General features: G+C 38.8%; 1 pseudogene; it reads left to right on the forward strand.

Moving 5' to 3' along the window:
- On the forward strand, positions 1,139-3,266 carry LOC643855 (G1 to S phase transition pseudogene; annotated as a pseudogene).

Consider the following 11,018-nt stretch of genomic DNA (forward strand, 5'->3'; position numbering starts at 1 on the left):
AATATATATTATATAGGCATACACACAAGAGAAATTGAAAAAGGATGAATTAAAATGTCATCAGTAATATTTTTTGGTTAGGACATAGTGATTGAGTATACCTTCTATTTTTGAAAATGTTGATTTAATATTATCTATTGCAGCAATTCCATGGTCTTCATTTAAGACCACTGTTTTTAATACTTTTTAAAAATCAAGCTTATTTTGACAAAATTTGCACAGTCAAATTCATTCTTTTAAAGAATACAGTTTAATGAGTTTTGACAAATGTATGTAGTTCTCTAACCACTACCACAATCAAGATAAAGAATATTTCCCTAACCTCAAGAAGTCTCCCTGTTCCTCTTTTCAATCAATTTCCTGCCCCTAACCCCAGCTCCTGGCAATTACTCAATTTCTCTCCCTATAATTTTTTCCCTTTGGTTTTCACAAATCTAACAAAAATAATGAAAAGAGTCTTCCTCCATATAATAAAGAGCAACTAAGATTATGCCAATCAGTGCTGATGAGAGCCAGAACTTTTCCTTTTCCGGAGAGTCTTATACATTGTAGCACTTTTGTATCTGGCTTCTTTCATGTTGCATAATGCTTTTGAGGTTTAAACATCCTGTTGAATTTATCGGTAGTTTATTACTGTTTTATTTATGGGTAGTATTTCTTATATAGATATACAACAATTCATTCATCAGTTGATGGATATTCTGGTTGTTTGCAGTTTTGGGCTATTATGAATATGACTGCTATAAAAAATTGTATACAGTCTCTGTGTGAATATATGTTTTAATTCTCTTGGGTAAATACCTAACAGTGATATTTCTGCTTATATGGTAAGTGCATGTTTTCTAAAGTGGGCAAACCATTACATATCACCACCAGCAGTGAATGAGCATCCTAGTCTTCCACATCCTCACTAGCACTTTATATATCCAATAAAAGTATTTTTTTTTTTTGGTCATTCTAGTAAGTCTGTGTTACGGGCTGAATGGTATCCCTCCAAAATTCATATGTGGCAGTCCTAACACCCAGTACCTCAGAGTGTGATCTTATTTGGTGATAGGGTCTTTAGAGAGGTAATCAAGTTAAAATGAAGTTACTAGTGTGAGTCCTAATCCAAAATGACTGGTCTCCTCATAAGACGAGAAGATTAGGGAAGCACGTAGAAGAAATAAGTGAAGCAGAGCCAGGAGATGGTTCCTGGGGAGATGTAAGGCCACCAGAGAAAAGTGTCCAGGAAATAATGAAGAAGGAAGATGAAATACCAAAACCTAAATCTGTGGTTGTGTCACCATGCACTCCTAAAAGGCACTCAGGCCTGTAATCCTAGCACTTTGGGAGGCTAAGGTGAGAGGATTGCTTGAAGCCCGGAGTCCAAGAGCAACACCCTGGGCCACACAGCAAGACCCCATCTCTTAAAAGAAAAAAAATACTGGTGCATGGCACATGGTGGTGTGCACCAGTAGTCCCAGCTACTCCAAAGGCTGAGTTGGGAAGATCATATGAGCCCAGGAGTTCAAGGTTACATTAAGCCCCTCATGCCACAGCACTCCAGCCTGGGTAACAGAGAGAGGTCTTGTCTCAAAAGAAAATGCAGTGTACATTGCACATGTAGATGCTGGCAATTCAACCACTGGAAGACAAATACTGTATTTGACTGAAATGGGTGAAAACAGGGTATTTGAAATGTATGAAACAGAAGTTAAAAAAGAAACAGAGAAACTTAGTACTTGTCTTGACTCTTAGACACAAATCAGGAAAATTGAGACAAGGATAAAATAATAGAAGCGGGTTTTGCCTATTTTGAAACTGAAAATAAATATTTTACAATTCTAGATGCCTCTGGTCACAAGAGCTTCATCCCAAATACAATTGGTGGTGTCTCTCAAGCTGATTTGGCTGCGCTGGTAATCTCAGCCAGGAGAAGAGAGCTTGAAATTGGATTTGATAAAAGGACAAACAAGAGAACGTGCAATGTTAGCAAAGGCAGCAAGTGTGAAACACTTAATTCTATTTATTAATAAGATGAATGATCCAAGAGCAAATTGGAGCAATGAGAGATATGAAGAATATAAAGAGAAACTAGTGCCATTTTGAAAAAAGTTGGCTTCACTCCCAAAAACTGCATTCACTTTATGCCTGCTCAGGACTAACTGGAGGAAATTTCAAAGAGCAATTGAATTTCTGTACTTAGTACATTGGATTACTGTTTATTACATATCTAGGTAATTTGTCAGACTTCAATAGATCAGTTGCTGTACCAATCAGGCTGCCAATTTTGGGTAAGTACAAGGATATGGGCACTGTTGTCCTGGGAAAGCTGGAATCAGGCGGTCTGTTTGTAAAGGCCAGCAGCTTGTGATGATGCCAGAAAAGCACAATGTGGAAGGTCTTGGAACACTTGCCAATGATGTAGAAGCTGATACTGTAGCCCCAGATGAAAAGCTCAAAATCAGACTGAAAGGAGTTGAAGAAGAGGAAATTCTTCCAGGATTAATACTTTGTGATGTTAATAATCGTGGTCATTCTGGAGGCACATTCGGTGCTTAGATAGTGATTACAGAGCATAGATCTGTCATCTGCCCAGAATTTAATTCAGTGCTGCAAATTCACACCTGTATCGAGGAAGTCAAAATAACAGCCTAAATCTGCTTGGTAGATAGAAAATAAGACTCAACCCTGTTTTGTGAAGCAAGATCAAGTATGCATTGCTCATTTAAGGAGAGCAGGAACCATCTGCCTTGAGACCTTTAAAGACTTCCTCAGGTGCGTCATTTTACCTTAACAGATGAGGGCAAGACTTGCAAATGGAAAAGTTCTAAAACTGGTTCCAGAGAATAACTAAGCATTTTCTTGACGATCTTGCACAATACTGTGAGAAATATTGACTGCAAAAAGCCTATCACATATCACCTTCTCTAATTTTCTGCCCATTGGTTAACCTCTCCCCATATTTACAAAGTGAAAATTCACAGCAAAAGTCCACATTGTGTCACTTTCTTATATTGAGAGTTCTGCTATGCCACTGTTGAATTTTTAAAATATTTTCCCTCCTTTTCATACTCTGCTTCCTTGGATGGATTTGGCAATAGCTTTGTAAGTCATCTGGACATAATTGCCTGTAATAATGAAAACCCTACAGCAATTTGTTTTTCATTTTCTCCTTAGGCATACTCAGTACTTTTCCCCCAGGCAGATCATTCTGAGTGTGCAAGGATGTGTGCACATGTTAGAAAGACAACTACCATTTTAATAAAGTATTCAATTTGAAAGAAATAAGAGAAGATTGATTAGGACATAAACGGTTACAGAGGGATGAACTTGTGAAGACACAGGGCGAAGACGGCCATCAATAAGCCAAGGGGAGAAACCTCAGAAAAAAACCAACCATATCAACACATTGACCTTGAACTTCCAGCCTACAGAATTGTGAGAAAATAAATTTCTGTTGTCAAACACATCTAGTCTGTGGTACTTTGTTATGGCAGCCCAAATAAACTAAAACAGTAAAAAAAAAAAAAGGATATTTTATTGAGTTTTATTTAAATATCCTTAATGATTAATAATACTGAGTATTTTTGTGTTCATTTTGCCATCTGTATCTCTTCTATAGTAAACTCTTCAAATCTTTTGTCCATTTATTAAATTGAGTTTTTTGTCTTTTTATTACTGATTTCTAAGTATTCCTTACATATTCTGGATACCGGTCCTTTATGAGATATGTGCTTTACAAATATGTACTCCATATTTGTGGCCTGTCTTCTTAATAGTGTCTTTTGAAAGAGAAATTTTTAAATTTTGATTAAGTTGAATTTATTATTTTTTCATTTATAGTTTATGCTTTTCATTGATGTTATTTTGATTTTTTACAACTTTATTGAGATACAATTGATGCAAAATAAACTGTACACATTTTAATCGTACAATTTGATAATATGTGACACGTATACATCTTTGAAAGAATTACCACCGTTAAAATGATAGACATTTCTATCACTCTCTTCAAAATAAAATTTCCTCTTGTCCTTGTGCAAACTATCCCTTCCTTCGTCCCACTCCCAGGCAACTAATGAAATTCTTTGTCACTATAAATTAGTTTAAATATTCTAGAATTTATATGAATTAAATCACACAGTACGTACTTTTTTTTGCATAGCTTCTTTCATTCAGATAAGTGATTCTGAGATTTATCCATGTTGATATGTATATCAATAATTCATTCCTTGTATTCCATTCATTATCATAAATTGTTAATCAATTTACCTTGGCTGACATTTTAATGCTTGTCATACTTGAAAAATTTACTACACAAAGACATTGGCTGAAAGGGAATGCAATATTGACCTCACTTATTGAATTGCGCTACTAGTTTTTCAAACTCTCTACCACAAAACAAAGACAACTGGTTTTGTTAAAATCTCAATCTGTCCCCATGTCAGTCTGTTGACATTACGAGTTAAATAGATAATCTAAGTATGTTATATCCAACTGTAGCTCTTTATTGAAATTTTTTTAACTAAAATATTACTAAGTGGGTTACAAAATTCTGCTTCTGTTTTAAGCACATAGAGAAGAGAGATTTTACAAGTGACACATTTATATTTTGGGCATTAAAATCACGTAATATGAAAACATTTCAAAGCAATCTGTTTTTAAATGTTCTCTCCTTTGCGACATTTTCTTCCAAATAGTAGCAGCTACTTTTTCATTTATTGGTAAAATATCTTCAAGTTAAATATTTAGTGTTTGTTTTTCTGAAAATTTCTGTTAGCTAGCAGAATATGGGTGTGAATTTGTCATTACAGAAATTAAAAACAAAATGAACGTGTGCCTTTTTGAAAAAGGAAAATGAACAATGCACCTTTATGTTTGCTTGGCAAATCTCTTAGGTACTTGGCACAAAATGACCAGAAAACCTTTTTAGGATATAAAAGATTTTTAAGGTCATTTCTTATTTATTTCATTACACAATATTGTATGACACTATAATTTGAGGATCTCTTAAAATACATAAAATTAACCATACCAATAACATTCTGTAGCACTTTATGCATGTCTATTTTCACCTTCTGTGCCAAAAAGACTAATAATCCAATAAATTAATTTCAAATGTGCTATTGCACCTGTAATTTTACTTAAAACAATTTTGTAAAGGAAACTGAACTTAAATCAGTTATATCAAGATTACATTTATATGGTTTTTCCATAATGTAATTTCTACTTTGATAATATATCTTCTTCAGTACCTTTAAATAGCTCAGAAAAAGCTGTTTCATTATTAAAACAGAACCCAGAAAATACCATAAGCTGAGACATTACTTTTAATTGTAATTTCAGCCAACTCTATAGCAAACCTCCCACATAATACTCATTTTTTCAATTCTTTAGCAATGTTTTCTATGAATATTCCAACACTAATTACGGACAAAAAATTGACCACATTATTTTCTGCTTATTTCATTTTTTAAAAATCCTGACACGACAGTGAATGATGTGCTTTCTTAATGATAGTATATTTTGTCTTTGTTATTAAGCACAAAACCTAGAAGAAGGTTCTAAACTTTATCTTCAAATTGGTGTAATTTTGTAAATACAGAATTGGATTTTACATGATTATAAATACTGGTGGGGAAATGTAGAAGTATGTCTTGTATCTTCAGAGTATAGATGCTTTTTAAAAAGAAAATTCTGACTAATTGTGATGGCTTCATTCTATCAGTCAGTACTTGGAGGTATAATAAGTACTCAATACACATAGAGGTTTATTGTGGTGGTAGATATAATATAAATCCATCTTTCAGGCAGTCTTCTTTAAAAGTTAGATTTTTTTTAAGCTAAATTTTTGTTAGTTTTAATTAGATCATTGTTGGTGATTATGTCCGAAATGAGTGGTGAAGAGCTTATACTAGGAGCGAATTGTCAGTCTTGCCATTAATAGTTGACCACAGATCTAGACCTTCAATAGTGGAGAAAGGTATATTCATTTACTGGCATCCTATTGAACCAATAAAACAATAGGTATGTTGCTACATAAAGAAATGTGTAAAATAAAGTGCTAATTTATAAAATTTTACAGTCACCATAGTAGAAACTACCTAAAAAAGACAGGAATAGAATATAGAAAAATAAAAAGAGCTCTATAAGGGTGTTCAGATTAAAGATAATTTGCTTTCCTTTAGTAGCCAGAATGTTTATATTGTTTTTATTTTATTGTTTAGAATTATAAGAAAACACATTTGTATCATATTTATTTCTTTTTATCCCTACAAAAATGCTCGAATTTGTGTGAAAGTTAATTTAGTTTCTGTATACAAGTGCTAACTTCCTTACTCTGACAAATACAAATTTTATAGTTTCTTTCAATTATTACTAATTTGATGGGGAAGAAAATTTATCTTGCATTTTTTGCATTTCTATGAATTTTTGTGAAGTGTTTATAAATTGTCCATTCGATTTCATCATTTATTGATTACTAGGTTATGAGAGGCTTCCTTTGATCACTCTGTTCCACGTAATTACTTCTTCCTTCATGCCAGTGCCTGGCTTAGGTTTTTATTTTCCATAGTACTTACCTGTCTTATATTATGTGTTTTTTTAAATGTATTCTTCTATTTTCTTCAGTGCTGTCAACATTGAATAACAGCTGCCATAGATTAGATAGTTGACAAATAATTGTTGAATGAATGAGTAATAAATGTCCTTTACCAATTTTTCTAATACTGTTGATATTTTGTGTATTAATCTGAAAGGTCTCTTTCTGTATTAGAGAGATAACATTTAAGCCTATGTTACAAATATATTTTTCAATTTGTAATAGACTTTATTTTTTATTTTATTATTTATTAACTTTGATAAAAAAGAAGTTTAATACAGTTATCTAGTTAAATGCATTATCTTTATGGTTTCTGTATTTGATGTTTTGCCTGGGGATACTTTCTTCTCCCTCCTTCCTCTCTCCCTTCCTCCCCAACTCCCCTCCTTCCTCTCTGTTTTGTACTCCCTTCCCGTGTGTGTGTGTGTGTGTGTGTGTGTGTGTGTGTGTGTATGGGTGTGTTTCAGCCATGGAACTTAGTGTGGCATAGGTGAAATATAAGGACCTAATTTATGGAGACTTCACTTTACCAGCATCACTTGCTATTTAATTAGTCTTTGAAATGCTGCCTTTATGGTATACTAAGAATTCATTTAGATTTGCTTCTGTTTCTGGGCTTTCTCTACTCTTCCATGAAGCTACCTATTTGTAGCAGCAGTTTCATTCTTGCTTAGTGTAGTTTTCCTGTATTTTTGAATATTTCATGGATAAATTCCCCTTCCATTTTTTTCAAAATAATATTTTGAATGTTCTTTTTACTTTTATTATTTCTGATGAGCTTTGGAATCCTTTTTTCCATGAAGATATACATATCAGTTAGAATAAATTTTGTATGCCTGAAATAGAAATTTAAGCCTTTGGCAGAGATTGCACTCTGTGCCCTTAGGCTTTTAGACTAGGGACCACCCTCTGTTGCTACCCCTAAGAACCATGTTAGGAATGAATCACTGTGAGCTCATTCTCTAAGACATGACATATTCTACGGGGTTTTTTTTTTAATGCATTTGTTTTTTAAACTGATAAACTTTCAGGGTTCAGTGAGAGGTTTTTAAATTGAGATTTTAATATTTTTAGTAGGTGCCTATTCTTGTTTTTTAAAAGAGGATTTTGAAAACTCTTTTTCTTTTTGCTCCATTTTATTTTATTTTATTTTATTTTTATTGATCATTCTTGGGTGTTTCTCGCAGAGGGGGATTTGGCAGGGTCATAGGACAATAGTGGAGGGAAGGTCAGCAGACAAACAAGTGAACAAAGGTCTCTGGCCTTCCTAGGCAGAGGACCCTGCAGCCTTCCGCAGTGTTTGTGTCCCTGGGTACTTGAGATTAGGGAGTGGTGATGATTCTTAATGAGCATGCTGCCTTCAAGCATATGTTTAACAAAGCACATCTTGCACCACCCTTAATCCATTTAACCGTGAGTGGACACAGCACATGTTTCAGAGAGCACAGGGCTGGGGGCAAGGTCATAGATCAACAGGATCCCAAGGCAAAAGAATTTTTCTTAGTACAGAACAAAATGAAAAGTCTCCCATGTCTACTTCTTTCTACACAGACACAGCAACCATCCGATTTCTCAATCTTTTCCCCACCTTTCCCCTTTTTCTATTCCACAAAACCGCCATTGTCATCATGGCCCGTTCTCAATGAGCTGTTGGGTACACCTCCCAGACGGGGTGGTGGCCGGACAGAGGGGCTCCTCACTTCCCAGTAGGGGCAGCCGGGCAGAGGCGCCCCTCACCTCCCGGACGGGGCGGCTGGCCGGGCGGGGGCTGACCCCCCACCTCCCTCCCGGACAGGGTGGCCTGCCTGGCGGGGGCTCACCTCTACCTCCCTCCCGGAGGGGGCGGCCTGCCGGGTGGGGGCTGACCCCCACCTCCCTCCCGGACGGGGTGGCTGCCAGGCGGAGATGCTCCTCACTTCCCAGACGGGGTGGCTGCCGGGCGGAGGGGCTCCTCACTTCTCAGACGGGGCGGCTGCCGGGCAGAGGGGCTCCTCACTTCTTAGACAGGGTGGCTGCTGGGCGGAGGGTCTCCTCACTTCTCAGATGGGGTGGCTGGGCAGAGACGCTCCCCACCTCCCAGACGGGGTCGCGGCCGGGCAGAGGAGCTCCCCACATCCCAGACAATGGGCGGCCGGGCAGAGACGCTCCTCACTTCCTAGATGGGATGGCGGCTGGGAAGAGGCGCTCCTCACTTCCTAGGTGGGATGACGGCCGGGCAGAGATGCTCCTCACTTTCCAAACTGGGCAGCCAGGCAGAGGGGCTCCTCACATCCCAGACGATGGGTGGCCAGGCAGAGATGCTCCTCACTTCCCAGACGGGGTGGCAGCCGGGCAGAGGCTGCAATCTGGGCACTTTGGGAGGCCAAGGCAGGCAGCTGGGAGGTGGAGGTTGTAGCGAGCCGAGATCACGCCACTGCACTCCAGCCTGGGCACCATTGAGCACTGAGTGAACGAGACTCCGTCTGCAATCCCAGCACCTTGGGAGGCCGAGGCTGGCGGATCACTCGCGGTTAGGAGCTGGAGACCAGCCCGGCCAACACAGTGAAACCCCGTCTCCACCAAAAAAACACGAAAACCAGTCAGGCGTGGCGGCGTGCGCCTGCAATCGCAGGCACTCGGCAGGCTGAGGCAGGAGAATCAGGCAGGGAGGTTGCAGTGAGCAGAGATGGCGGCAGTACAGTCCAGCTGCGGCTTGGCATCAGAGGGAGACCGTGGAAAGAGAGGGAGAGGGACACCGTGGGGAGAGGGGAGAGGGGAGAGGGGAGAGGGAGAGCCTGAGCCTTTTTGCTCCATTTTAAATAAACTACAGTTGATGGCCTAGTAAAAGGCACAGGTGTGAGGATGGTATATCCTTGTGGAAAAGCTTTGGGATGCCTGGTCTTCTTGCTGGGTAAGAAGCACTGTGTGCTTCTTACATCCCCAAAGCAGATCCCTAACTCTGGTCCCAGATGAAGGCTTTCCTGCTAAATGCAGCAGTCAGGAATGGTTACAAGGGACACAGTACAACCAGTCACTAACTTATTACTTGAGACATGCAAAACAACTAGTCCCAGTGTTCTCTGGCAAATTTCATCCACAGTATATTGTCTTGCTTTCACTTTTAAGGTTCAGTCTTAAAACTACAGGAGCACACACTACAGAATGTTCTTGCTGAATTAGCTGACCAAGGGAAAGGGGATAACAATATGTCCCTGTCTAAGTGGATTTAAGGTATCTGTATTCAAACTCTTCAAATCGTTTGAGCCTTCAAAAGAAGGGACAGCCTTGCCATTGGTCAGTATATCTTGTCATTAATTATGACATGGTGGTTTCTTTTGTTTGGATCTCTCTTTGAGACAGAGATTATAAATACGATTACACAACTTTCAAAATTCTGTCAACAGTTTTGTTTTAGATTGAGCTACTATCTCCTGAAGCTGTAAGTGACATTCTGAAATTTCCTAATCAAATGGGCCTATGGTTTGTGGATTTGCTTTCTCACACTGGCCAAGTGACATAAAAGCACTTTGCCATAAGGGGTTTTTAAAAAGTCTTACATAGTCATCCTTTTCTGGCTTTCCTTCTACACAAAGGCCTGAGAGAGAAAGCAATGGCAGTACAAATGAATGAAATTTAATAGATTGTTTTAATTTAAGAGCAACAATTCCTCTGGAAATTAATCACATTGGACTGAATGTGAGCTAGGAGAGCAGCAGGACTTATTTCCCAGTCTTGAAAGGATAAAGTTAAAATATGTCTGGAGGCCAGGTGCGGTGGCTCACGCCTGTAATCCCAGCACTTTGGGAGGCCAAGGTGGGCGGATCACAAGATCACGAGATCGAGACCATCCTGGCTAACACAGTGAAACCCCATCTCTACTAAAAATACAAAAAATTAGCCAGGCGTGGTGGCAGGTGCCTGTAGTCGCAGCTACTTGGGAAGCTGAGGCAGGAGAATGGTGTGAACCCGGGAGGCAGAGCTTGCAGTGAGCCGAGATCGCGCCACTGCACTCCAGCCTGGGTGACAGAGCGAGACTCCGTCTGGATTTAAAAAAAAAAAAAAAAGTCTGGAACCAGCAGATGGCGCCAAAAGCAACCAACCTCTAATTGTTCTCATTGCTCATTAACATAAGATACTCCCACCAAAGCTTGACAATTTATATTTGTCATGTAAATGACCCAGCAGGATGGCAATGATCCAGAAATTACTAGCCCCTTTTCTAGAGACTTCTGAATAATCAGCCTCTTAATTTGCATGTAATTAAAAGTGAATGTAAATGCTGCTAACCAATAGCTCACAAGTGCTGAATCTGGGTCACTACCTATGGGTTGGCTCTGCTTTGCAAGGAGCAGCTCTTGTTGAATAAAAGTTGCTGTCTAGGCTGGGCGTGGTGGCTCACCCCTGTAATCCCAGCGCTTTGGGATGCCGAGGAATGCAGATCATGAGGTCAGGA

The sequence above is a fragment of the Homo sapiens genome, chromosome 11 (genome assembly GCF_000001405.40).
Source record: "Homo sapiens chromosome 11, GRCh38.p14 Primary Assembly".
Taxonomy (NCBI): domain Eukaryota; kingdom Metazoa; phylum Chordata; class Mammalia; order Primates; family Hominidae; genus Homo; species Homo sapiens.